Below are 27365 nucleotides of genomic sequence, written 5' to 3' on the forward strand. Positions count from 1 at the left end.
GGGGCCGGGGGCGGAGGGGGGCCCTCCAGTGCTCCTGCGCCGTGGGAAACGCGAGAACTCTAGCTGCTGCGTATCGCGCTATTTACCCGGCTTGTGGGGAGTTTCAAGTTGGGCGGCTACTTTTTGGCTTCTATTTAGGAGCTTTCTTTTAGAATCGGAGAATTTTAGGAAGTTAAAAAAAAAAAAAAAAGACCAGAACAGACAAGAGCTTAAGCCTCACCAGGGGACTATGAAATGAATGGGGAAGTTGGTGACGTATCAGCTTAAAAAAAAAAAAAAAGCAGTTAAACTTGGCACTAATTAGTAGCCAGGCTGTGTAACATGCTGGGGATTTGGTGAACAGTGTCTTCCCTCAGATTTACATCAGAGTGCGAAAGACACCGAAACAACTATTCAGATTTAGCAGCTGTGAAAAGTTGCTATGAAAAGAATACCAGGTGCTGTGAGAACATAAGGCATGTTATCATTAGAAAAAAATACGACAATTTCCATTTTGGAGAAACAGTATCTATGCTATCCCATCCCTTCTTTAAAAGTATACATGTGAAATAAAACACTGGAAAATAAACTAATTTTCGTGGTAGAATTTCTTGTGATTTTTTTTTTTCTTTGTGCTTTCTATTCTGGTTGTTCTCCCCCTCCCCCCCATAACGTGTATCCTTTTTGAATGTAAAAGTAAAAGTAGCTACCATTCCTGCCTCAATAAAATAGCCCAACATAATAGAATCTATTTTTTTCGTATTAAGAATTTGCAATACCTGGAGTTTAGGAACATAAATATTAATTTTGCTTTTACAGGGCAGTAGATGAAGAAACAGTGTCAGAGACTAGCGTGAAAGTGAATAGAGTCTATGAATCACTCAGGCTTTGTTTTTTTCCACTTAAAAATATTCCTGAAATTTGCTTAGGAGTGTTAAGGCCTAATTAGCCAAAACCACCAGGAGAGCGCATCTCGAAGAGGAATCAGAAAGCGCAGGACAAGACAGTTGAATCTTTTCTAAGACTTGAGGTCCCTCTGGAGGGTTCTGAGGAAGGTCTAGGAAAGCCGGGATTGGTTCTGGATGGGTTGCTGTTTGTAAAGAAGGATTGGGAGAAACTGATTAGGGACTAAGTGCTGTTATGAGTGAGGGTGGTTTAGCAATTGAGTATTTCCAGTAATAGGAATAGCAAAGCTGGTCTGAGGGCATCATTAGTAAGAAAACAGTGGTTATTCAGAGAGGGTGGTTATGGTTTACAGCTGCTGCATGACCTTAGGAGAAACAATGCTTTCTGTTGGTGAAAAAAAGAAGACATCCTAAGACAAACCTTGCACCTCAAAACCTCTGTAGATAGAGAATCCCCACTTGGAAGCTATAGGTGTTGTGCAGATTTAGTCTTAAAAATTAACACTTTGAGTGCTGATAATATAATATGATGATGTAAAATTTAGGAGATACAGGAGGAAATAAAGGATGGGGATAAAGGAAAAAGAACAGTGAAGGGACAATAAAGGTATGCATATTTTTCTGTCTTTCCTCTTTTCTTCACCTTAAGTTAGGCTCTTTTCTTATAACCTAGTATAATGTCCAGCATTTAATAGGTATTCAATAAATATTTGTGAATGAATGAATCATTCAATCAATATTGGTCCTGAAATGCCAGGGAAAAAGAGATGATGAACTGGCATATATTGAGAACCATGTCTATGTCAGGTATAGTGTCAAGCCTTTCGTGAAAGAGTAATATGGAATCAACTCCTCTCTCTCAGCTGATCTGCAGCTTAAAATGCATATATGGTGAACTGTGGGAAGCGGAGTTTGAATGACACAGGTCAGCCTTATGTTTTAATTTATATCTTCATCTTGTAGTTGTTCAATGTATTCCATTTTACTATAGAAACAGGAAAAGGTCGTCAACTTTTTCAAGCAAAATTTCTTTTCATATCTGGGAAATTGGAATTCCTTTTTTATATCTTTATTATCTCTCTGATATTCTCTTGCTCCCTGGCCAAGCCCTTCCAGGCAACTTTGGTTAATATATTATTGAGATGTTAGAGGTTTAAAATAAATCACTATCAAAGGATAGAATTTTAAGGGAAGACTAAATTATGTATTCATTAGAATCATAATTTTGTTCCTAAGACAGATTCGTGATGGTATAATAGAAACAGTGTCTTAGCCTGAAGTATTGAGGATAGTCCTAAGATTAGGGAACGATCAGTTCGTTCTTAATCATAAGCATAAGAGAATGACTCAAACGCTGCTGTTTGATCTACCTGTACTTACATTTCTTCTTAATTTTAAATTCTTCTCTGCTAGTATTCTTTAGACCCAACATTGGTTGTTTCCCCTATTTCTTCAATATTTCTATTTATTTTCCATCCTTTTTACAGGGTCATCTAAATAAAAATATCTTAAAGCAATAAACCATTGTTATTGAGTCAGTACCTCAGTCCATGCAGCTTAATAATATGGAGAGCAAAAAAAAAAAGCCTCTCGATTTATTTTTTAATATTACACGATCCTAGTTTTTTCTTCCCAGAAAACGTGCCACAAAGTTTGCAAGAAAGAGCTTTTGGGGCGGAGCCCTGGCTGCTTAGGTCCTTTCCATTGGTTCTACTTGGTGACCACGCCCACGGCCCCGCCTCCTGGGCGGAAGAGCCAATTGGGCCGCGAGTTGTGGTTTAAACCAGGAGTGCGCCGCGTCCGTTCACCGCGGCCTCAGATGAATGCGGCTGTTAAGACCTGCGTGAGTGAATGGGAGGGTCGCGGGTGGTTAGTTGAGCCGGCTCCGGCGGGGAAGGAGGCGGGCTGCGGCTGCGGCTGGGGCTGAAGCTGGGGCTGGGGTTGGGGGACTGCCCGGGGCTTAGATGGCTCCGAGCCCGTTTGAGCGTGGTCTCGGACTGCTAACTGGACCAACGGCAACTGTCTGATGAGTGCCAGCCCCAAACCGCGCGCTGCTCGGGACCTTAGAGCCTCTGACTCAGGCTGGAAGATTTGAGAGCTGGATTAAGTACTTGTTGGCTCACGCCCGTGACTGTTCCGCTGTTTAGCTCTTGTTTTTTGTGTGGACACTCCTAGGATAGAAAGTTTGGTATGTTGCTATACCTTTGCTTCTCCCACCTTCCCCAATATCTAATATGTATTTCTCATTCTTAGAATAATCCAGAATGGCTACTCTGATCTATGTTGATAAGGAAAATGGAGAACCAGGCACCCGTGTGGTTGCTAAGGATGGGCTGAAGCTGGGGTCTGGACCTTGTAAGTATACAAGGCTGCAGTCGGATACACTGGTATTGTGGACGTGGCCTGGAGCTGGACGAGACATTTAGTGTACTTTTTGGGCAATTGGAGTCGTTTGTTATTGGTCCTTTTTCATTTTTAATATCTTAATGAGATGATTTAAGGAAGTTACTGAATCTCTGCTATTAGGCCTATCATAGCCATGCCACTACCAAAAGTGGGGGGTGGGTTTGGGGGTGAGAGGTCAAGTTTATATACACAGTATTTAAGTTGTACAGGTATTTTGCTGCTGGAATATTCTTATGGTAAGACTTTTTCTTCAGCAATCAAAGCCTTAGATGGGAGATCTCAAGTTTCAACACCACGTTTTGGCAAAACGTTCGATGCCCCACCAGCCTTACCTAAAGCTACTAGAAAGGCTTTGGGAACTGTCAACAGAGCTACAGAAAAGTCTGTAAAGACCAAGGGACCCCTCAAACAAAAACAGCCAAGCTTTTCTGCCAAAAAGGTAAGTGTTGGCTATAAAGACACTGTTTAAACACTTAAGCACTTTTGACTCTTAAAATGACTATTGGCATCATCCTACGTAGCTTTCTTCCCTCTGAGTAGAAGGGAAATAGAGGTTAGCAAGCAGAGTAGTGGAGGAGACTCAGATTGTCCTTGTGGACTTCTTGGTACCTTGAGATTGGAAATCTCAGATGCAGCTAATGCATATTTTTGCCTCATGCATATTTTTGCCTCACCTGTCCTTCACTAGTGTCGTGAAACTGGTTGGTGGTGTCTACTTACAGATACATACTGAGAGAGAGGGTGCCTTAAGAGAAACTGGTTGGTGGTATCCACTTACAGATACATACTGAGAGAGAGGGTGCCTTAAGAGGTTCTGTTGCTGCTTTAATAGCACAGGTGCTGCCATTCTCTTAGCCTTCCAGGGCAAGCAGCAGCTTGTTAGGTGACAATTTGCTAGCATGTTGATCTTCGTGTGAGTGTGAGTCACAAGCTACAGGTCTGTGTATCCCAGATGAGAGGACTTTGCTGTGAAAGATGACATTAGCATGTGGATTAACACTTTATTTGAATAACTGTTTTGTTTAATTTGCATTAGGAAACAACTAGTGAATTACATATAGTGCAACTTAGGACAAAGATGTCTTCTTTAAAAAGTGAATTAACTTAAAGAAAAATATTAAATACAGGAATTGCAAAGACATGGCAAAAACAATGAGACACAGAACCGAAGTGTGAGAACCCCATAGGGAATTCTAGGCATGCATATGTGAGGTGAGATAAAGCAGGAACATGCCGGCTTCCATTGTAGCACCCTTCTATAGTAGACTGTAGTAGACCTGTCAACTCCAGACTAGAAGATTGCCCATGGTGTTTATTCTAAAGTCCTTGACAGTGTCTTGCTGCCTCTTACTCAGTGTGTGTATTTGAGGAACACAAACTTGTTTTTAATATTAACCAAGCAAATAATTTAAGGTAACACTTGTGGAAAAAATCACACTCCTATAAGCCAAAAATGGCTTTGATGATTAGCTACTATCCTGGGTGATTCATGCCCATTTTCTCCTCTGTTAGGTTGAATAATTGCATTGATTAGCTCTGAATTAACTGCATTCTTGATCACTTATGCTGACAGGTGCTGGTACTTAAATTTCAGATTTTAACTTTTGAGTCATGCTACTCGAATTACATTTGAATCATATTATTTGAAGTATATTTAGGTGCAATTATGAAAACTAAGGATTATGGCTTCTTAGAAGGCAGCATGAAATTGACAAATTTAAAAACTAATCAGCTAATAAGACTTCCACTGTCACTAACCCATATTTTCTTTGGCTGTTCTAGATGACTGAGAAGACTGTTAAAGCAAAAAGCTCTGTTCCTGCCTCAGATGATGCCTATCCAGAAATAGAAAAATTCTTTCCCTTCAATCCTCTAGGTAGTATCTTTTGCAATTGCGAAAAGTGCTTTTGGCCTTTAGTTTCTTAGTATTCAGCTCAGCTGTAACTTGTTATGAATATAATATATGACCAAAAACTATGATGAGACTGTCTGAATCTGGGTTGCTTTGGACAAGTGTACTTGTTGATGGAATTATTTGCAAGGTATCATCTTAGGTCAGGAGGGGAATAGGAACAAAGATGTAGAAGACATTGTTCCTGTCTGTAAAAGCTTATCACCTAGAGGAGGTAAGATGTATTCATGAACATTGAATAAGTCCCATTGTGGACAGTCTTTCTCACAAGGCTTTTAGAAGTGAGCTTTATGTCAAGTTGAGCAATGCCTGAGAGTAATTTGGTAGGATTATTTCTTTGGTTTGAAAAATCTACATAAGACAGTGAAGACATGTTTTTCAAATTTCTTCAACCTGCTACATGTATCTGAAGTATTTTCTGTTTTGGAAACAGCTTTTCAAGCTTTAATTTACTCAACCATTTCAGGAGAAGCTACTGTGTGTCAGGCATCCTTAGGTCCTGGACACACTGTTTAACAAGATGGGCCCTGCCTATGGGAGCCCATAATTTGAAGGGAAAGTCAGATGCTGGACAAGTCATCTCACTGTGAGTGAGCCAGAAAAAACAGCATTGTAGGTCAAAGTGGTGCAAAGATCGTGAGGTAGGAAAAGAGACTAAAGTGGTTCTAGGAAAAATACAGGCAGGGTAAAGGAGGATACAGGTGAGGTGTGGGATCAGATCAGGGAGGGCCTTACGGATTTCTGAGCTGGATCTTTTACCCTTTTATTTAGCCAAAGAGGTCATGTAGTTATTTTACTAATTTGCATTCAGATTGTTCTGGCTTTTAGAAACTACAAACATTTCTATGATTAGTATTCTTGAAATGATCTTGTTGTAAGTTTGTGAGTACATCTGGAGGGAAACTTTGAGAAGGATTGCTGAGTTCAAGGGCTTGTGTGATTAAGTTTTAAAATTATAAAATGTGGTGCATCCGTGCTAATAATTACCATTCAGCCATTGAGGAAAATGAGGTAGATTTATGCATATTGATGAAGAATGAAGACCACAATATCCTGTGTTACAGGAAAGAGATATTGCTAAGTGGCCCTTCAAAATAGTGTAAATTGTTAAATCCGTCTACAGTGGATGAAGATGTCTGCTTCCTCCAGGTTCACTATCAATGTTTTAAAACTCTAATCTTTATCAGAAAAGAAATATTTCATTGTTTTAAATTTGTTGTGTGTATGGTGAACATATTTGATTATTGGCCACTTACAGTTTTTCTTTTTTTATTAACTTCCGGTTTGTGTTTTTCTTTGATTAAAGAGCTCTTTGTAGATAAAATTAGCTCCCCTTATATTGCAAACTTCTTTCCTCTGGAGTCTTCTGTCTATGGTTTCCTTTACAATTCAGTGGTTTTAAGTTAAATAGTCACATATCATTCAATTCCTTTTTGACTTCTGGGTTTTACCAGGCTTGTAAAAGAGCAGACTAATTCTTGAGTACTTAGGCTTTAGAGAACTTTCACACCTACGGACAAAGATAAGGAAAACCATGATTTTCTAATCTTTTGAGAAAACAGCTCCTTGAAGAAAATTCAGTGTTAAATCCTACTTTTGTTACTGTACAGAAAAATCACTTTTTAAAAATAATTGCTAAGAAGTAAGGTACTTGGATTTTAAGAATGAATGTTACCTAACACAATGGTTCTCCATTTTTTTTTGTTTTGTTTTAAAGACCCTTTTACACTCTTAGAAATTATTGAAGACCACTTTTGCTTGTGTGATCTGCTCTTTTCTGTATTAGAAATTAAGACTGAGAAACTTAAGATATTTATTCACTAAGTAATCACATTACATTAATGTAAATTTTTTTTTAACATAAAATATTTTTTGTTCTGGAAAAGTTTGGAGAAGAATGGCATGGTTTATATTTTTGAAAATTTGCTTTATTTGGCTTAATACAAGACAACTGGATTCTTATCAAATTCTATATTCACTCTTACATCTGTTAAAATATACGAAGAAAACCTGGCTTCACACAGATACGTTTTTAATAGTCTTTTCAGATAAGTGTGGATAGGTTTTTTTGCCACTACACTAAAACCCACAAGTGGCTGTTTCTGAATATAAAATTGCAATGTGGAATCTGAAACCGTATCAATGAGCATTTTGTATCTTGACAGTAAAATCCATTGGTCTATTTTGCACTTGGAATGTATCTTATATTCTTGCATCTATCTTGCATTGACCATTCAGAAATACTGGTTCACTGAGATATGTAGATACCCACATGTTGAGATGCTTTATTATACAATATCAAAAGCACATTAATACCACAACTGATCTCATCAGAAAAGTCTAAGCACCTGTCAAGCTAATGACTGCAGATAAGTTTTCCAAAATTCCTTTTTTTGGCCAGATGCAGTGGCTCACGCCTGTAATCCCAGCACTTTGGGAGGCAAGGCGGGCGGATCACCTGAGGTCACGAGTTCAAGACCAGCCTGGCCAACATGGTGAAACCCCGTCTGTACTAAAAATACAAAAATTATCCGGGTGTGGTGGGCGCACCTGTAATCCCAGCTGCTTGGGAGACTGAGGCAGGAGAATCGCTTGAACCCAGGAGGCAGAGGTTGCAGTGAACGGAGATTGTGCCACTGCACTGCAGCCTAGGTGAAAGAGTGAGACTCTGTCTCAAAAAAAAAATATTCATTTTTTAATTTTTGACAAAATTTTAACGTTTTATATTCTGCCATTGGCAACAAAGGCTGTCAGTTTTCCTTGAGGTGATAGACTTCTTTCATTCCTTTAAGAAAAAGTGTGACAAGCACCCAGGTCTGAGTGACCATGGGATTTCTTGCAGTTGTTAATTCAAGTAAAAACAGTATTCCAGGAAAATGTTCTCTAGTTTTAGCTTGCAACTCATATAGTTGCACAAATCCTTTTAATCGTATTTTGGTGTACAGTGGAAGTGCTTTATGGCATACTTCTCATTTTATCACACAGAACATTAAAAAGACATCTCAAGGATGGAGAGCTAATAAAATTAATACTTTCTACTGCATATGGTGAAGTGACAGTAAGTGAAACTGGCATTTTTAAACTACAAGCGAAGAAGGATGCAGAACAGAGAGACTGCTAATATGGTTTACTGTCACTGCCTTGATTTGTGTTGAGGCACCAGCAGCTTTCTCCACCGCTGCCTTGGTACCATCATTACAAATGTCAACCCAGTGGAAAAAGGTGTGAATATTGTCTTGAAAATAGTTTTGACCTCATGGACCCCCTCAAAGGGTCTCAGACCACAAGGGATCTACAGCCCACACTAAGAACTGCTGCCCTGACAAAAACGCTTTCTCTCTGTAACAGACTTTGAGAGTTTTGACCTGCCTGAAGAGCACCAGATTGCGCACCTCCCCTTGAGTGGAGTGCCTCTCATGATCCTTGACGAGGAGAGAGAGCTTGAAAAGCTGTTTCAGCTGGGCCCCCCTTCACCTGTGAAGATGCCCTCTCCACCATGGGAATCCAGTAAGTGAGCAAGTGCCCTTCTGGAAGGGCTGCAAACAATTTGTTTCATAACACTTCCATTACCATGGGAAGAGTTGTGCGGGAGGTGAGCCTGTGAGTAATTTCTGTCCTTCAAATGACAAGGATTAGTTTTCAGAAAAATAAACTATTCTCGATTAATATTGCTTTTCAGTCCCAAATGCCCCAGTAAAATTGTTATTCTGGAAACTGGATAGTCTTACTACAGCCAAAAGATTAATTCTCACTTACATCTTCTTAGGCTATAAGTTGAAGCATATATAATAAACTTGCTTGGAATGATGATTCCATGTTATATCCAAAGCTAATATAAGATCAAAACACCTGTGCTGTAGCATAGACTGACAATAACTTCTTACTGCAGAAGGTCTGAGGTCTTCGTTTGAACTGGTAGTCAAAGCCAACATTATGTTTTCTGTTTGTTCTGATGTGGGATAATTTGTCCTAATAAGTTACATTAGTGAGACTGTTAACTCTTACTTTGGTCTCTAAGAACAATAGAGATTCAGATACTTCTAAAACTTACTTCCTAATGAAAGTCAATTCTGGGGCCACAGACACATTCCAAAAAATGTGTCAGGAGGGGATGCAGGTGATTGATTTGACAAAGGGAAAAACATGAATTTTTGATTGACAGCTAATGTCTATGTTGATATGGACAATGACTCAAGGATTTGCAGAAATTTTAATAAGAGATTCCTGTTTTCTAGATCTGTTGCAGTCTCCTTCAAGCATTCTGTCGACCCTGGATGTTGAATTGCCACCTGTTTGCTGTGACATAGATATTTAAATTTCTTAGTGCTTCAGAGTTTGTGTGTATTTGTATTAATAAAGCATTCTTTAACAGATTCTTCCTAGTATTGTGGTTGCTTTTCCATGGAGGTTACTTAAAATAACATGAAAGCTAGCTGAGGTGTTTAACAAAGAGTCTATAATGTGACAATAGAGATTTGTCTGATGTCTAAAAACTTAAATCTTTTTGGTTTAACAGCTTATTTTAGAAGCTGCCACTGTTTTTTCCTGAAAAGTATACCCCTCAATGTGTACTTTATTGACTTTTTGTGGCCATTAACTAGTGACAGTTATTAGATCTCTTAATTAGAAGAGCTACTTCCAACTCATTAAGTATCTATTGCTGGGCATTCTTTATTGCCGGTTCTACTTAGTTTCTAATGACTTTAATACTCAGTATTGAAAGGCTCTAAATCTGAGAATTCAGCCTCCTTGGGATCTTCAATTAGATTCCTTAAAGATCACTGGAGATAATTTACTGATAGTAAGGTCTACACTCCACCTATAGGAAACTGTATTTAGTTGTTTACCTTGTGTTGGACATGAGTATTTGAGAAGCATTATTATGTTTAATGTTTGACACTTTCCCAGGTAAGACAATGAAGCGCAGAAGTTCATTGATTTGTCAAAGATGTGAAGAGCTAGAAAATTATTAGAGCTGGTATTTTGATCTCAGTTCTGAGGTTGGAATCAAAATAGAGATGGCAAATGGTTGCTCATAGGTTTTCTTTTTGAGGGAGGGGGTGGATATTTTAAAAACCTTAATCATTTCCACTATTTAAAATTCCAGTGTTTCACCAATCTGGCTTTGGAGATTCTCTTGAAAAGAGATGTGTCCATAGTAGACCCTGTTTCCAACACTTGCTGGGGCTGGAGGTAGATTGCAGGCTGCTGCCTTTTAGGTGGAGTATAGGCTTTCTATCCCACAGACCCTGCCTTAAATGGCCTCAGTGAGAACTGAAGTGATCCTTTTACCTTTCATGTCTCTTCTGAGACCTAGCCTACTTAACTCACTTTACTCGCTTGGGCCATGTAGTAACCTGAATTTGACCCTTGCTTGATGCTAAGTTATATAAGAAGTCTTTCCCTTGATATATCAGTAGCTTCTATGGTCAAGTTAGAATGTGAACACTTTGCCATTGTCATTGGAGGAAGCTGAAGGATATTAGGCATGAAATACTAAGAACACCTACAACCGCTTATCCTGACTTTAAAACTTTTTACCTTCTAAATACAACTGAATCAGTGTGACTTTCTGGAATTAGTGGAAAGGCAGACTTCTAGGAGAAGATAATACCATAAGACTACTAGGGCACTTGGCTTTAGGGGAGAGTAATAGGTTTAGCATCCTCAGGTAAAATAGGGCTGCTAAGAAAACCAAAGTATAGGTTGGACACAGTGGCTCACACCAGTAATCCCAGCACTTGAGAGTTTGAGGTGGGAGGACTGCTTGATCCCAGGAGCTTGGGTTCAACCTGGGCCATGTAGTGAGACCCTTGTCTCTCAAAAATTAAAAATAATTAGCCGGGTGTGGTGGCGCATGCCTGTAGTCCTAGTTTCAGGAGGTTGAGGCAGGAGGATTGCTTGAGCCCAGGAGTTCAAGCTTACAACTTGAGTGGCTATAGTCATGCCACTGGGTGGTAAAGTGGGTGGTAGAGTAGCCTGGGTGGTAGAGTGAGATGCTGTCTCACAAAAACAACAAAAAAAGCAAAGTGTAGTTCTGAATGGCTTTCATACTCTGCAACACAAACTGAAGCTTTGGAAAATTGTCTTTTGTGGTAGAGGGAACCAAGGGCTGGGAGCAAGGGGACTAGTCAGTCCCTTACCAGTTAATTGCCGTCCTCTGGGTCAGAACTGAGTATAGAGGGATCTGATCTTTTCATCTGCTGTTAATCAGATTGCAATGTGCATAATGTGTGCTGAGACTGAGAACTTTAAGCAGATGCTCCTCCATTAATACAGATAATTTGCATCTTGTGGGGGTTGTTGCTATTTTGTTCTGACACTTTTTGAAATAAGACAGACTTTATTCATACCTTTACAACTCTGTAAACCTTCTGCATTTCTCTACACTACCTCTGAGCCTGCCTCTCAGGATACTGTACCTTCTTATAGTAGGAGCTAACAGTCAGGAATGCCATTATCTTGCTACCATTTCTTCTTTCTTATTACAAGTTGTATTTTTCTACTTTCCATGCCAGCCATGGATTTTACCTTTTTTCATGCTGGGTATTTTTACATTTCTATTAATATTCTTAAACTTTGTTCTAGAGTATGGGTAAGGTACCTAGAAGCAATTTGATTCATTTGAGACTTGCCTTTAATGTTAGGCATCACCAGAGCAGCATTTAGCCCAGGGCTCATTTCCCCCTACTACTGAAGTGTGAGATGCTTAGGACTCTGCTGCCCCCTGAATTATGAGGTTTTCCTGTCTAGCTGGTGGGAGCAGACACTATTCCCAGCCCTGTGTGGGCTTCAGGAATTCTTCCCTCTGATCTTTTCAGCTATATGGATCAGTGCTCTTCTGAATACTACAGGGAGACCCTCTGCAAATTTCCAGGGTTCTCTCTGTGCAGCTCTCTCCTCTCCAGTGCTCTGCTCTGCAAACTTGGCCTGCCTTGGCCTGACTCTGCTCTGTCTCTTCAACTCAGGAAATTCACTGGGCTCTGCCTGCCTCCCTTTCTTCCCCACTCTGAGGCCTGGAAACTCAAAAGTAGCCAGTAAGGATAGTCATCGGCCTCACCTCACTTATTTCACATTCCTCAGGCATCGCTGTTCTCTGTCGCCTGATGTTCACTCTTTGGGCAGCCCTCATTTCATATATTTTGTCTTGTTTTTTAGTTTCAGGCAGGAGAGTAAATCTGGTCCCTGTTACTCCATCTTGATTGGAATTGAAAGTTCCTTCTAGATATTCCTTTCATTTTTTTTCTTTTTTGAGACGGAGTCTTGCTCTGTCGCCCAGGCTGGAGTGCAGTGGTGCAATCTTGGCTCACTGCAAACTCCACCTCCCGGGTTCATGCCATTCTCCTGCCTCAGCCTCCCGAGTAGCTGGGACTACAGGCGCCCACCACCACGCCCAGCTAATTTTTTTTTTTTTTGTATTTTTAGTAGAGACAGGGTTTCACCGTGTTCGCCAGGATGGTCTCGATCTCCTGACCTCGTGATCTGCCGGCCTTGGCCTCCCAAAGTGCTTGGATTACAGGCGTGAGCCACCATGCCCGGCCTTTTTTTTTTTTTTGAGGTAACATTCACATAAGAAAATTCATTTAAAAATGTACAATTCAGTGGCTTTTAGTTCAGAGTATATGCAACTATCACCACTGTCTAATTTCAGAACACTTTCATCACCCCCAAAAATAAACCCATGCTCATCAAGCACTCATTCCCCACTTCATTTACTTTGGAATGATGTCCCTCTGCCACCAGGATGAAGTCTGAGTTGCTCAGTGTGGCTCACACGGCCTTGTGGTGGCTCCTTGGGGGTGTAATTTCCTGTCCTGATTCACCTGGCCAAACCTGTCCATCTCTAGTACTCCAATGAGATGCTTTTCTTACCAGAAGCCTTTGCACTTACCATGCTCGGCTGTGTCTGGTCCTCTCCTCCGCTCTACTGGGAGCAGGATGAGGTGTGTCCTGTGCACTGGTGTATTCTCTGCCTGGCATGTGGCAGGTGCTTCAGGGACTTGCTGAAATGAGTAAAGATGTCATCAGTCCCTGGGGATCCAGGTTTCTAGAGACCCAGCGACTGCACTGTACCCACTGTTAGCATCACACGGTATCAGGGCCAGGGAGCCTGACTTCAAGGTTTCCAGAGAGAGAGTGGTGGGGGCAGGCACAGGTCTAGGAGGTCAGCTTCTCCTACCCTAGACAGTTCCTGGTCACCTGTCTGTCTGTGCCCCACCAAGCCCAGGTATAACCTGTTTACTGAGAAGCTCCAGCTCTGCTGGGGAAACATAAACTGAGTTTCTTTCTTTTTTTATTGCCACCAACTGTGTTTTGTTGACCTGTTCTCCTTTCCTCCTTTCTGGGTGGTGGGTGATGCTGAGCAGCATTCAGACAGATTTCATAGCTTTCCAGTTACTTTTGGTTAAAATTAAACTTTGCTTATTTTAAAACTTGAGGTTCACACCTATTTCAGGCTCTTCTCCCTCTCCCCTAGTACAGGCGAGGGCTTGGCAAAAGCCCATGTGTATGCTCTGCTCACCACACATGTCCCTTCTCCCCTTCCGGTGTTATGACCCTCATAGGGGCTTAGTCCAGCCCCAAGCCTGGGAGGACGGCTGGAGGGAGAAAAGAGTCTGCTCGTGTGACAGGCCACTTGTTGGTTATGGGAAGTGTGCTGGCTTCGTTCTGGCTGTTGTGCTCTGCACGATGCTGGTGGCCTCTGCTCATGGGGAGGTCCTTGTGTAGAGAATCACCCTCTTCTCCACGGCTGAAAACCCTGTCCCTCCTGAGAATGGCAGCCTGCCTCTCTTCCCACACCTTTCCCAGGTGGGCCCTTCTATTCCTTGGTCCAGGGGCTGTCCAAGGCCTCTGCCCTTCCATGATTAACCACTGGGATCTTTTCCATCCCCTTTGAGGGCTGCAGAACCAGGATGGGGTGAAGGTTTCCCTGCAGGCCTGGGTACTCCAGCAGGTCCCCACCGTGAGAAATCTCTGGACCAGGAGCAGGTGCCAATCTTTAAGTTGCAGTGAGTCTCTACATGCCGATGATCCTCTCCTCCCCGCAGTGCAGTGAGAAGGCTGAAAAGGACAATAAATACTCCCAGAATGCTCTCTCAAGAGCCCTCTCTCTCACCAGTCTTGGTTCTGTTGGTGGCACCAGCATAGGCTTACCTATTTCTCCTGCAACTCAGCTGGTGTGTGTCTGGGGGTGAGAGGCCATTCTCCCCTTCCTGAAGATTCCTATCTTTATGTGTTCATTTAAAGCTTTTCATGACTGCAGGTAGGAGAGGAACACCTCTCCCACCACGGACACAGCTTTTCTCTGCAGACATCCCCAAAGCGGGCCACCTCATCTATCAGGCCTCTTTCTGCTCCTGATGGTTGATGCTCCTAGGACTGGCATCTCTTGGCAAGCCCAGAGCTAACTTTAGAATATGCTACACTCAGTGGCTTTTGGGGACTTTAGCTGCATGTTTTCAAGCAACAGGAACAATCAAACAGCAGATCTGTCTCTCCTTTCCAGCCAGAGTGAACTTGGACATGGGTCTTGTTTATCCTTGCAGTCTCCAAGTCCAGTGTCTTGCCTGGAGTAGACGAATGATCAGTTTGTGGAACTGAATCACGGCAGGAAGAATGAGTGCAAAGAGGCTCCCTTTGGCTCTGTGTGCACAGGCTCCTGGGAGGATTTGTGCCTACACTCCCTTCTGAAGAGGCCTCTTTTTCCTACAAGAGGAGCCTGGGACTGATGAGCCATTTCTCTTTTCAGATCACATAGTGGAACAGACCGCAGGCCCCACCTTCCTCCGCTGCCCGAGGAGTGGGAGTGGGTTTCCATGGCAATGGCACGCACCAGCGCTCACCTCCGCTTTGCAGCCCTGCTGCAGAGGTGAGAGCTGCCTGCCTTTGGTATGCTGCTCAGAGCCCAAGCCAGGCTGGCTCCTGGCTTCCTGCAGTCTTGCAGGGAGGGACACCAGAAAGGACAGCAGTGTAGGGACGCTAGCCCAGAGGTATAAGTCAGGGGCAGGTCACATGACTAAGAAGCATCTTCATCTTACTGGAAAGATGAAAAGTTAGTTGAGTATGATGTTCTGTATTACTAGTTGGAAAACTGGGCATGTGACTAGAGCCGTACAACACATCGTATTTCAGTCTTGTAGTTGGAGGCAGAGAGGGTGGTATGTGAGATGCCACAGGGGAGAGAGGGAAAGGCAGGCATGGACTCATACCTTGAAAAAGAGACAGAGAAAGAAGGGGGACCTAAGAAAGCAGCAGACACAAAACTACATGGTGCTTGGTGCCTACCGGGTACTCAGACACAGGGCTGTTGAGTTTTATGGGAGGGTTGTGTTCCTGAAGACCTTGTATAATTACCATAAATTAATGTAATTTAAGACTAATCCTGACATGGATGTTATATTTGTGTGCTAGGGCTGCCATAACAGAATACCATAGACTGAGGGAGCTGAAACAATGGACATTTATTTTCTTACGATTCTGGAGGCTGGAAGTCCATGGCCGAGGTGTGGCAGGGTTGGTTCCTTCTGAGGGCTCTCTTTTTCTATTGTAGTCATGTCCCTGGCTTCTCACTGTGTCCTCTCACGGTCTTTGCTCTGTGTTGCCTGTGTCCTAATCTCCCCTTCTCCTAAGGGCATCAGTTAGATTGGATTAGGGCCCACCCAGATGACCCTGTTTTAACTTGATTAACTCTTTACTGGCCCCATCTCCAAATACAGTCATATTCTGAGGTGCTGGGGGTGAGGACTTCAGCATATGAATTTTGAGGTGGTGGGGAGGGACACAATTTATAACAAGTATCAAGTGTTTCTGTTACAGAAGCAAAGTTATATGGCAAAAGTATAAACATTAATTTAAAACCCAATAAAAGTGAAATTAGATGATTCTTGATAAATTCTAAAATGATAGATTTAAAATTTTATGTAGAAGTGAGATTTAGTGATCCTTTTTATTGTTCAGATCTGCATAATCCAATTTTCCTCATGCAAAAAGAAAAAAAAATCAACTGAATGGCCACTATGAGCCAGGCACTCTTCTAGGTACCAAGGATACTGCACTGAACAAAACAGACAAAAATCTCTGCCCTCCTTATGAAACTTACATTGTAGCCAGAAGAAACAGACTATCTACAAAATAGTCAATTACATGGTATGCTAGAAAGTGATAGGTGTAGTGGAAAAAAATAAAGTGGGAAGGGGGTATGTCCTGTGGGTGAATGGGTAGGTGGAGGAATTGCAATGTTAAATAGAGAAGTTTTGGAGGGCCTCATTGAGAAGCTACTTTTGAACAGAGATTTGAAGGAAGTGAGAGAGATACCCAGAGGACATCCAGGGCTGTATCTATCAAGGAAGCCAGAGAACATTTACAAAGGCACTGACGTAGGAATGGATTTAGTATGTTTGAGGAATTGCAAAAAGGTCAGCAGGGCTGGAGGGTAGTGAGTGATAGGGAGAGGGTTAGGAGACAGGGCCAGAGAAGTAGGCAGAGGTTGTATCATGGAGGATCTTAGGGGCTGTGAAAATGAGTTTGGATTTTAAGTGTATGTCCCTGAAAGACCAAAAGAAGGAGGCAGAGTAATGTTGAGCTGGGAAGATGGAGAGTGGGGTGCTTGAAGATCAGATAATCAGTTATGGAGTGTTTGAAGTTTTTCTTAGTGACAATGTCTAGGAGATGACCATGGGACTGGGTGGTTGAGGTAGATGGAAGACAAGCTCACTGGAGAATTGCCAAGGAATTCAGAGGACAGTAAGTTGGAAGGCATAGACAGAACAAAGGAGCAGTAGTAAAGAGAATGGCAGTGAGCTACGGACAAAATCTTTAAGGCGGGGTGGGGAGAAGGGAATGACACAGGTGTTTGCAATGAGATAAGCAATGGATGGGCCTATTTGATGATATAAGATTCCAAGCTGCAGTTTGAGGGTAGAGGGAGAGAGTGTGGTCTGGAGGCAACAGCGAGGATACAAGAGGACACTATCCCATCCCCCTACTGTCGTACTGGGGAATGGGGTGGAACAGGGGTCCCCTCTTCACTGATGCTGATGGGAAGGCCACATGAGGGTTGGTGACCAGGGAGGGATGGCAGCCAGGGGAGCCCCACTCTAGATGTGAAATATGATGTCTTTTAGGATACTGCTATTCATGACTCATTTACATATTTTAATAAAACACAATTGGGAGTATCACTTCTTGACACTGGGCTTCTTAGTCTAGGCGAAATTGAGTGAGAATTTTTAGAAAGTTCTTTTCCCTAGAAATGGAATAATAGGAATGAATAGTGATATGGTTTGGCTGTGTCCCTACCAGAATCTCATCTTGAATTGTAGTTCCCATAATCCCCACGTATGGTAGGAGGGGCCCGGTGGGAGGTAATTGAATCATGGGGGTGGTTACCTCCACGCTGTTCTCATGATAGTGAGTTCTCACAAGATCTGATGGTTTTATAAGGGGCTTTTCCCCACCTTCGCTCTGCACTTCTCCTTGCTGCCACCACGTGAAGAAGGATGTGTTTGCTTCCCCTTCCTTCATGATTGTAAATTTCCTGAGGTCTCCCCAGCCCTGCAGAACTGTGAGTCAATTAAACCTCTTTCGTTTATACATTAACCAGTTTTGGGTATTTCTCCATAGCAGTGTGAGAACAGACTAATACAAATAGTTTATGCTCCTTGGTCTTTATATAGAGGCATCTAGGATTAAAGCAGAGACCCTCTTTATTGCTTGAAGGATTCTGTTTTGGGACTCATCATTGCCCTGATGGCTGGCTGCATCCGGAACACAGAGGAAGAAAGAGTTGCCTTCAAGGACATGCCATTTCCAGGAAAAGAGCAAGAATGTAAAAAATAAAGAGGTTGAAATGAGTTTATGAAGTTACTAAGAACATTACAAGTGGAATGAACTCCCTGGAGATGTGACTCTCAGGAGGGCAGAGCCCTTTGTTCACTTGCCCTATGGACAGCATATTGTACATCAGTGCTTCCAAAAGGGTGCCTAGACATACCAGGGGTCCCCAAGACCTTTTAGGGGTACATGACATCAAATATATTTTAATAATAGTGCCAGGATGTTATTTGCCTTTTAAATTTCCATTCTTTCACAAGTGTACAGTGGAGTTTTCCAGAAGCTACTCCAAGTATGGTATTATAGCAGAGCAAATGAAGAAGTAGATGTGAGAAATCAGCTGTCTTAAGCCAGATAGTAGAGATTTTCAGAAATGTAAAACAATGTCATGTTAATTTTCTAAATGTGGGTGTTTTTTGGTTTAGGAAAATAGTTACTTTTTATAAAAATATATTAATTATGTTATAATTAATTGCTTTATTGTGATAATGTTTAAATAAATATATTTTAAATTCCTCAGCTTTAATTTCTAAAACTGTAAATATTGATAGGTATAATCCTTATAAACAAAAACTCTTTTTCATCCTTAATAATTTCTTTAAGAGTGTAAAGGAAGCCAGGCAAGGTGGCTTGCATCTATAATCCCAGTGCTTTGGGAGGCTGAAGTGGGAGGATTGCTTGAGCATAGTAAAACACCATCTCCACAAACAGCAACAACAAAACCCAGACTGTAAAGGAATCCTGAGACCAAACAGTTTGAGAACTGCATGTCTAGTGGATAAGCACCGAGGCTCTGGAGTTAGTATGCTTGGTTTGAAACCTGGCTTTGTGATCTTAGGCAAGTTACTTGACCAGAGACTTAATTTCCTTATCAGTAAACTAGGCTATGTCACAGTTATTGTGAGCAACAAATGAAATAATGCATTATTCATTATTTCATAAACGATCATTTCATGAATATTTCATCAAGTAATTTATTGAATACTGTATCTATGTATACAAAACCCTGTGGTTGCTGCTTTGAAGGATGTAAAATGACACAAGCCACAGCTCCCACTAGCAAGAGGTTTGCTGTCAAGGGTGAGATTTCTGGATTTGTAGTTAGCACCTTTGGGTTCAGTTCCCAGTTCCACCCTTGACCAGCTGATCTGACTTTCAGCATGCCACTTGCCGTTGGCTAAGGCCAGATCCTGAAGGCATCTTCGATGGTCCACAGAGCAGACAGTAAATTCCCACTTGCATCTTTGAAGCATCACTGCCTCCTGCCTCAGTTTAACAATTGGTTTTGTCCTTCCCTTTGAAAATGAACTGCACTACCTTTCCTCCCAAGCTAATGTAACCATGCCACTAGAGGGCACCTCCTGCCTTCTCAGTCAGTCGCAGCTTCCTCTAATTTGGAAATGATCTTTCAGCTGAGATGGGTGGTACGTTGGGGTTCGATGTCTTTAGGATTCCTCAGCTTGATGGATGTGGTAAGTTTTGTCCGAAAATCCTGATTGTTTTTTGCTTTTTCCTTTTTTCTTGTTTTTTTCTTTTACATCAGACCTCTTTTAATAAAACTGGGGTGGAGAGGTTGGTGGAAGGGAGGGCGCTGTTACCACCGCCACCTGACATTGATAAGTACTTACTGGCTGCCAGATCAGTGCTAAGTGCCTCACACGCATCGTCCTTTGGACTCTCAGAGAAACGCCATGGGGTGTGGGTATGCGTGAGCATTCATTATTGATGGTTGGAAACTTGGGCTCTGATTGGTTAAGTAACTTTTGCAACATCCAGCTAGAAGGCACACTTGGTACCACGAAGCGGTCTCCATAGAAGCTGGCCTCACCTGGCTGTTAAGTCAAGCAGGGAGCGGCGGGTCTTGCTGCTCTAGGACAGTAGTTCTCAGCCTTATCAGACATAAAAGCCCCTTTCTGTATGAAACATTTCGTAACACCTCCTGTACTACCCTGAAGTGATATCCACAGGCAGTGTGTGCCTATGCTTACATGTCCGCTTACATACAATGCAAAGGAAACCTTCTCCTTTTAGGAAAGTATGTCTTACAAGTATTAGGCTTGTCTATCTACACCAGAGGACAAAGGTGCCGGGCTAATTTCGAAACTGCCCACCAGGGGGCGGCATACCACATTCCCTGCTGCGATCAGCTCGCACAGACAGTCCCCCTCCGTGGTGGCTTTGGCTGTTTCCCCTTCAACTGGAATTGCCCCGTTAGACTCTTCCTGAGGTCCCCGGAGTGGCACAGGGGGTTGTGGTGGAGAGTGAAGCGAAGAAGTCACAGAGCGTGGAGCTGACCCTCATGTTAGTGTGATAGATTTCTAGTCACGTGTACCCACCATGAGTACAGTCAGATGCTTTAAAATTTTAGTTTCCTTACTGAGTGATTTGCTTACAAAGTGATTAGGAAGTAATATGTTTATTTTCATTGATACTGCTTTAAAAATTTTTTTATATTATAGTCAGTGAGCAGTATTCGTTTAATATTTTTCTTTAAATCAATTCAATTTTTCTTTAACATGAATACATATATTTAAACGGAAACTTTAATGTGTCAATGGAAAACTTGCATCATTTGACATAATCGGAGGGTAACCAAGACGAAAAGAAAAAAAGCAATGGTACTAAGTTCTTGCTGATACTGATGCGGTTTCCCACCAAGGATCCATTTTCTCTCTTAAAAGAGTTTCTTAAAGAAATATTTAAGGAAAGCTGTTAAAGATATATTAGCACTGAATTGAGATTATCCTTAAAGTAATCAGAGAGGCTAAAAGAGAAGTGAAAAGGGAATGGTTTTCTCATGATGTCGACCAACATTATTTTATTTTTATTTTTTAATTTCAATAGTTTTTGGGGAACAGGTGGTATTTGGTTACATGGATAAGCTCTTTAGTGGTGATTTCTGAGATTTCCGTGCGCCCATCACCAGAGCAGTGTACACTGTACCCAATGTCCCGTCTTTTGTCCCTCATCCCTCTCACCCTTTCCCCCGGAGTCCCTAAAGTCCATTATATCATTCTTATGCCTTTGCATCCTCATAGCTTAGCTCCCACTTAAAAGTGAGAACATACGATATTTGGTTTTCCATTCCTGAGTTACTTCACTTAGGATAATAGTTTCCAACTCCATCCGGGTTGCCGCGAATGCCATGATTTCATTCCTTTTTGTGGCTGAGTAGTATTCCACGGGGTATATATACCACGTTTTCTTTATCCACTCGTTGGTTGGTGGGCATTTAGGTTGGTTCCATATTTTTGTAATTGTGAATTGTGATGCTATAAACATGAGTGTGCGTGTGTCATTTTCATGTAATGACTTCTTTTCCTTTGGGTGGATACCCAGTAGTGGGATTGCTGGATCGAATAGCAGATCCAATTTTAAGATCAACACTATTTAAAGTTTTGTCTGTGTACCAGTAAAATCATCTCCTATATACCAGTGGACACAGTGTCTCCCCCTGTGGAGACAGTGGATGGCTTCCTGGGCTGGAGTCGAGGGACTGCTTGCTAGCTGTGTGTTCTGCACTGGTTGCTTGCCCTCCCTGAGCCTTGCTGTCCTCATCTATAAAATGAAGAGGTAGGAGGAGATAATCGCTGTAATTCTTTGGGATCTAATGGTCTAAGACTCTCTGAAGTACTGATTCTTATTGGAAGGAGATACAGTACTTAGCAGGACATCCTCCTTTTTGTGTGCCTACAGCCTTTGAAGGGGCACGGAAAGCTGCAGATTCTCCAAAATCCCAGCTGACACCCCCATCTCTTGAGAGGCAATTCAACCTCCAGGAAGAGCCAGCAGCTTAGACCCTGGAGTCCAAGAGACCTGGATTTAAATCATTGCTCTGCCTTCTACTAGTTTTGTAACTTTCAGCAGATCACTGAACCTCTTTGGCTTCAGCTCCCTTGTCTATAAATTAGGAACAATAATGCTATTTATCCTTATTTTGAAGATCAAATTATTATATGCATGGTAATTGCTTACCATAGTGTCTGGACCATAACTTAGCTGTTATTATGGTAATTCCTAAGGTTCTTCAAAAATGAAACAACTTTCCTGGAAGTAAGCCACTGGGGAAGTTATTTGGTTGCCCTGCCCCCAATATTTTAAACCCATGAGATGAAATGAATATCATGAGCACCCAAGAAAGGGAAGCCTTGTTTGAGAAAGGTGAGTGTGAATGTACAAGGCTGCCTACTCCCATGTGGCCTTGGGTGTGGTGTGAGAGACCAGCGTTATTTGTGTGGGACTTTACAAAATATTAAACTTTTTTTGGTTTTAAAGTACTAGTTGAGCAACTTGTGGCTTTCCAGCCCACAGGCTTCCTGAGTCTCTGCTTGGTCCCTATGTGCAGGTGCTTACAAGTTGTGGGGACAGGGAAGTGTGGGGGAAAAGTAGAGGGGTAGGGTTTACCCCTGGTGGCCCTTGATTGGCTCCATCACCACTGCAGGCCTGTTCTAACCTGGCCAGGGCTGGATGAGGTGGCTGGGGCAGTGGAATCCTGATGTTTAGAAAAGCTGCATTGCTCATGCTGGGAAACTCCTTCCTGTGAGGTCTTTGCTGCCAGTTCTGGGACATTCCTGACCAGATAGAATTCTCCTGATGGAGATATTTCATTGGGATGATAATATGAATGCTACCTAAAGCATGGAGAGTTTTGGTATTTGAGCTGTGGACCTAGATTTTCATCCTGACATGACCACTCATCAGCTCTGTGACCTTGGGAAAGATACTGAACACCTCTGGTTCTTTCTTTCCTTATCTGTAAAATGAAAGAGTACCATACCAGTGGTTGTGAGTGAGCATGTGTGTGTATGTGTGTGTGTGTGTGTGTATGTATGTGTGTGTGTGGTTGATAGATCACAAAGCCTTTTCAAGAGCTAATGAGAGTTATAGACCCTGTCTCCAGAAAAGCATAGGTCCCCATTACATTTTATATATAATTCCAGGGTTTTAAAAGACTTCCCATCCCCCAAACCCATCCATAGATTCCAGAGTACAAACAGTGGTTCTATGCCTCATTCAGCTTATAAGCCTCTGTGAAGCCCATGGCTTCCAATTTGGCTTCCCTACTCAACCCAAACCAAATGTAGATTCTCTTAATTTGTAAACTTGTGTTTAGTATATTCTCCCTAAAATACCAACTCAGCCCAACAGGGCCTTGGAAAAAATGTGCTACCAAGGCCATTGTGTATGAAAGTGCAGGTATTCCCTGCACAGGGCATCCTCCGCTGCTTAATCAGGCCTTTTCCTAATTAACATATAGGTGGGCCCGGGCCACCAGCAGCTTTTGCAACATATACGTGGGCACCAAATATAAGGTCCAGCGGGAGATTCTCCATCTAAAGGCTTGACCTGCATCTGGTTCTCTCTGTGAAGCAGTGGTTAGGAAGAGGGGTCATTAGGCTAGAAAACACACTCAAAGAAGGCTCAGGCAAGGCTGAGCTCCTTGAACTAGTTGGGACTTTTTTATGGAAAGAAACTGGAGTTTCTTAATTGCCACTGGAGTTCTTAGTTGCAGACAACAGAAACCAGTCCTGGCTGATTTAAGCAGAAAAGGAATCAATTGAGAGCATGTCAAGTGGTTCAGAGAAATGCCAGGAAAATGATAGAAGAGGCACCAGATAAAGGGAGGTAACAAGGAAGGTCAGGCATCGGCCAGGGTAGCAGTCTGGGTGATGACACAGCGCCAACCTGGCATGGATGCCACTGACACTGAAAACCCTAGCTTACACAGCCAGCACAGGTGACACAGGATGCTGCTGCTATTGCTGCCACTATTACGATGGGTTCATGGCATATGCATATCTAATTGGTTGAACCTGGGTCATGTCCTCAACCATCCCTGACACTTTCAAATTCTATGGTGGGAGGTGCTCTCTGCTTCCCACCAAGACTCTTAAGTGGGGGAATTCCTCCAACAACTGAAGGCAGCCCTCCAAAGTCAACTAATAGTCAGCAGGAACAGAAACCAGCTTGAGCTAGCTTTAGTATAAAAGACTCTTTCAGGCTATTGGGTGTTTCATGAAACAAAGAACAGGAGGGAAGCCAGGCCTTTGGGAGGGCGTGGAGCCAAGTACTTGAAAGTCAAAGAACTCTTTTCCCAACTCTCACCTCTGCTTCTCTGTGCTCCTTCTTCACTTCTTTCTCTCTGCATTATGACACTTCATTCCCTCAGTCCAGGAGATGGGATCAGGTGGTCTTTGGAAAGGCTTCCTCCCATGGCTCAAAGGACACCTCCTAGAAAAGCAAGGCAGGCATTCACTACGGGGTGGCTTCCTGCCCCCTTCACACCTTCATTCTGGTCACTCAGCTTGGGTGTCTGCTGTTTGATACTGTTTTCTTCTCCACTCTCTGCTGAGGTCCCTTTAGATAGCCTGAATATCCCTCTTCGTATCTCTCTGAGGCTGCAGGTGGAGGCTCATATATTCCTAGAATGTTAGGCCTTCGTTTTACAGATGCACAGTCTGAGGCCTAAGAAATTAAGTGACTTACTCGAGATTCTGACTGTCCCATGAATGGGTTGGAACATGGTGCTTAGCATGTAGAAAGCTCTCAGTAGACTTTAGTTATGTCATTCAGATTTCTTTTAATTCAAAGCACATTCCTTTCCTTTTCTCTCTTTTGTTCTCATGGCTCTCTTTCTCCACTATTTATTTGTCCTTTCCAAAAATATATACTGAAGGCCTTCTGTGTGCCTGGTAATATTGTCGATGCTGGAGACTCATCTGTGAACAGACAGACAAGATTCCTGCCCTCCTAGGGCTTTTATTTCAATGGAAATAAAATACACAAACAAGATTATTTCTGATGGTTATAGTGCTCTGAAGGAAATAAGAAGAGAAGTGAAAAGGTTTGGCTCTGAGGGTGGGCTACTTTTGACAGCGGGTTCAGGGAAGATGCCTCTGAGTTGGCGATTGGGAACTGAAGTCTGAAAGATGGGAGCTGAGGAAAGAGGGAACAGAAAATGCAACAGCCTTGAAGTGAGAACACCTGGAGCTTATTAGCAACAGAAAACCTGGAACACGATGGGGCAGAGAGTGATGGGAGAGGAAGGCAGAGGTCAGCTTAGGAGTAGCTTTGTAATGGTGTGATTAAGTGTAAAGAGAAAAGAGTGATTTAAGTAGGAAAGTGTCATGATCAGATTTACATTAAAAAATGATTTTTATCAGACAATTCCAAATTGAGAGGCATCCTATAATCAAACCAAACAACAGTGACAATAACCCAACTGGCTGGCACTCTTCAAAAATATCAAGATCATTCAGGTCCTTTGCTCATTTTTAAATAGAATTTTTTTTTCTGTTGAGTTGTTTGAGTTCTTTGTGTATTCTGGATATTAGTCCCTTGTCAGATGTATAGTTTGCAAATATTTTCTCCCATTCAACAGGTTGTCTCTTCACTCTGTTGATTGTTTCCTTTGCTGTGCAGATATAGTTTTAGTTTGATGTAGTCCCATTTGTTTGCTTTCATTCTTATTGTCTGTTCTTTTGAAGTCTTACCTGGAAAATCTTTGCCTAGACCAATGTCCTGAAGTGATCCCCTTACGTTTGAATAGACATATCTCAAAAGAAGACATTCAAATGGCCAGCAGGCATATGAAAAAATGCTCAACATTGCTAATCATTTGGAAAATGAAAATCAAAACCACAATGAGATATTACTTCACACCTATTAGGATGGCTATTATCAAAAAGACAAAAAATTAACAAATACTGGTCAGGATGCAGAGAAAAGTGAACTCAACTTTTGATGTCAATGTAAATTACTATAACCATTATGGGAAAGAGTAGGGAGGTTTCTCAAAAAACTAAAAGTAGAAGTACCATATGATCCTGCAATCCCACTACTAGGTATTTATCCAAAGGAAAGGAAATTAATTTATCAAAGACATAGATACCTACATCCCCATGTTTATTGCAGGTCTATTCATAATAGTGAAGGAATCAACCTGAATGCCCATTAACAGATGAATGCATAGAGAAAATATGGTATATGTACACAATAGAATACTATTCAGCCATAAAAAAGAATGAAATCCTGTAGTTTGCAGCAACATGGGTGAACCTGTAGGACATTGTTTTAAGTGAACTAGGTTAGACACAGAAAGATAAATACCACATATTCTCATTCGTGTGGGAGCTAAAAAAATGAGCTCATAGAGGCAGAGAGTAGAATTGTGGTTATTAAAAGCTGGTAAGGGTGTGGGAGGGGAGGATAGGGAGAGGTTGGTTAATGAATACAAAGTTACACCTAAAAAAGAGAAATAAATTCTAGTGTCCTGTAGCACAGTAAAGTGAATATGGTTAGCAATAATTTAGTGTATATTTTCAAAAAACCAGAAAAGGGGGTTTTGAGTGTTCACAAAATAAAGAAATGATTACTATTTGAGGTGATGGATATGTTAATCACCCTAATTTGATCATTACACCTTGTATACATGCTTCAAAATATCACTTCTTATCGCATAAATATGTATAGTTATTATGTATCAACTGAAAGTAAAAGGAAAAAGAAGTCAAGGTCATGAAAGACAAGGAAGAGCTGAGGAATAGTTCTACATTAAAGAGACATGGCAATTAAATGCAGTGTGCAATTGTGGGATGAATCTGGGACTGAGAAATAAGTTGGTAAAGAACATTATTGGGGGAAATGATGAAAATTAAGAATAGACTGGCTTTTGAAAAGAGGATTGTATCCTTGTTAAATTTCCTGAATTTGATAACTTGAAGGTTATGCAAGAGAATGTCTTTTTTCTTAGGAAATACATGTGAAAATGTATAGGGGTAAAAGGGCATGATGTCTGCAACATACTTTCAAATTATGAAAAAAATGTATGCATAGGGCAAGCAATAGCAAATGTGGAACAACAATAAAATTTGGTGAATCTCCATGAAAACCATAGTTGAGTTCTTTGTACTATTCTTGCAACTTTTCCCTGGCTTTGATTCTTGATGTGGCTGGGTTTAAGTCTATTTAATCTTGCTATTTGTTTTCTACTTGCCCATCTGTTCTTTTTTTTTTTTTTTTTTAAGACAGAGTCTCACTCTGTCACCCACACAGGAGTACAGTGGCACAATCTTGGCTTACTGCAACCTCCACCTCCCGAGTTCAAGGGATTCTCCTGCCTCAGCCTCCTGAATAGCTGGGAGTACAGACATCTACCACAAAGCCAGGCTAAATTTTGTATTTTTAGTAGAGATGGGTTTTCACCATGTTGGCCAGGCTGGTCTCGAATCCCTGACCTCAGGTGATCTGCCTGCCGTGGCCTCCCAAAGTGCTGAGATTACAGGCATGAGCCATGACACCTGGCCTGTCCATCTGTTCTTTGCTCTCTTTTT

At 41.8% G+C, this 27365-nt stretch overlaps 1 protein-coding gene across 3 annotated transcripts, besides 10 other annotated features; it reads left to right on the forward strand.

Annotated features, from left to right (window-relative positions):
• Positions 129 to 248: an enhancer, noted in NCBI's record as "active region_23561". NCBI's record gives its function as "activates an Ori minimal core promoter by ATAC-STARR-seq in GM12878 lymphoblastoid cells {active_cell/tissue: GM12878}" and the evidence as "EXISTENCE:reporter gene assay evidence [ECO:0000049][PMID:35858748]".
• Positions 259 to 328: an enhancer, noted in NCBI's record as "active region_23562". NCBI's record gives its function as "activates an Ori minimal core promoter by ATAC-STARR-seq in GM12878 lymphoblastoid cells {active_cell/tissue: GM12878}" and the evidence as "EXISTENCE:reporter gene assay evidence [ECO:0000049][PMID:35858748]".
• Positions 2526 to 2585: a silencer, noted in NCBI's record as "silent region_16584". NCBI's record gives its function as "represses an Ori minimal core promoter by ATAC-STARR-seq in GM12878 lymphoblastoid cells {active_cell/tissue: GM12878}" and the evidence as "EXISTENCE:reporter gene assay evidence [ECO:0000049][PMID:35858748]".
• Positions 2686 to 2845: a silencer, noted in NCBI's record as "silent region_16585". NCBI's record gives its function as "represses an Ori minimal core promoter by ATAC-STARR-seq in GM12878 lymphoblastoid cells {active_cell/tissue: GM12878}" and the evidence as "EXISTENCE:reporter gene assay evidence [ECO:0000049][PMID:35858748]".
• On the forward strand, positions 2691 to 9580 carry PTTG1 (PTTG1 regulator of sister chromatid separation, securin). 3 transcript variants are annotated; one of them, NM_004219.4, is made up of 6 exons: positions 2691 to 2727; positions 3138 to 3239; positions 3545 to 3729; positions 5073 to 5166; positions 8551 to 8709; positions 9438 to 9575. In NM_004219.4, exons 2-6 carry the CDS (start codon positions 3149 to 3151, stop codon positions 9515 to 9517), a joined length of 609 nt encoding a protein of 202 aa, NP_004210.1. In that variant the 5' UTR covers positions 2691 to 2727; positions 3138 to 3148; the 3' UTR covers positions 9518 to 9575. The 3 variants fall into 3 exon arrangements, with proteins under 3 accessions (NP_004210.1, NP_001269312.1, NP_001269311.1); NM_001282383.1 differs by lacking the exon at positions 2691 to 2727 and adding an exon at positions 2746 to 2991 and having other exon boundaries at positions 9438 to 9580; NM_001282382.1 differs by lacking the exon at positions 2691 to 2727 and having other exon boundaries at positions 2746 to 3239; positions 9438 to 9580.
• Positions 2940 to 3496: an enhancer, noted in NCBI's record as "H3K27ac hESC enhancer chr5:159849111-159849667 (GRCh37/hg19 assembly coordinates)". NCBI's record gives its function as "activates a minimal SCP1, AML or CMV promoter by ChIP-STARR-seq in naive H9 embryonic stem cells {active_cell/tissue: H9 hESC(naive)}" and the evidence as "EXISTENCE:reporter gene assay evidence [ECO:0000049][PMID:30033119]".
• Positions 13266 to 13355: an enhancer, noted in NCBI's record as "active region_23563". NCBI's record gives its function as "activates an Ori minimal core promoter by ATAC-STARR-seq in GM12878 lymphoblastoid cells {active_cell/tissue: GM12878}" and the evidence as "EXISTENCE:reporter gene assay evidence [ECO:0000049][PMID:35858748]".
• Positions 14895 to 15334: an enhancer, noted in NCBI's record as "active region_23564". NCBI's record gives its function as "activates an Ori minimal core promoter by ATAC-STARR-seq in GM12878 lymphoblastoid cells {active_cell/tissue: GM12878}" and the evidence as "EXISTENCE:reporter gene assay evidence [ECO:0000049][PMID:35858748]".
• Positions 17712 to 17771: an enhancer, noted in NCBI's record as "active region_23565". NCBI's record gives its function as "activates an Ori minimal core promoter by ATAC-STARR-seq in GM12878 lymphoblastoid cells {active_cell/tissue: GM12878}" and the evidence as "EXISTENCE:reporter gene assay evidence [ECO:0000049][PMID:35858748]".
• Positions 19717 to 19776: a silencer, noted in NCBI's record as "silent region_16586". NCBI's record gives its function as "represses an Ori minimal core promoter by ATAC-STARR-seq in GM12878 lymphoblastoid cells {active_cell/tissue: GM12878}" and the evidence as "EXISTENCE:reporter gene assay evidence [ECO:0000049][PMID:35858748]".
• Positions 24194 to 24253: an enhancer, noted in NCBI's record as "active region_23566". NCBI's record gives its function as "activates an Ori minimal core promoter by ATAC-STARR-seq in GM12878 lymphoblastoid cells {active_cell/tissue: GM12878}" and the evidence as "EXISTENCE:reporter gene assay evidence [ECO:0000049][PMID:35858748]".

This window comes from Homo sapiens, chromosome 5 (genome assembly GCF_000001405.40).
Source record: "Homo sapiens chromosome 5, GRCh38.p14 Primary Assembly".
NCBI classification, from domain to species: domain Eukaryota; kingdom Metazoa; phylum Chordata; class Mammalia; order Primates; family Hominidae; genus Homo; species Homo sapiens.

What these genes read in the sequence shown, in the direction of transcription:
- PTTG1 (NM_004219.4), top strand. Translation starts at nt 3,149, where the DNA reads ATGGCTACTCTGATCTATGTTGATAAGGAAAATGGAGAACCAGGCACC. An exon ending in GAAGCTGGGGTCTGGACCTT is followed by an intron (nt 3,240 to 3,544) that starts GTAAGTATACAA and finishes CTTTTTCTTCAG; the next exon opens with CAATCAAAGCCTTAGATGGG. An exon ending in CTTTCCCTTCAATCCTCTAG is followed by an intron (nt 5,167 to 8,550) that starts GTAGTATCTTTT and finishes TCTCTGTAACAG; the next exon opens with ACTTTGAGAGTTTTGACCTG.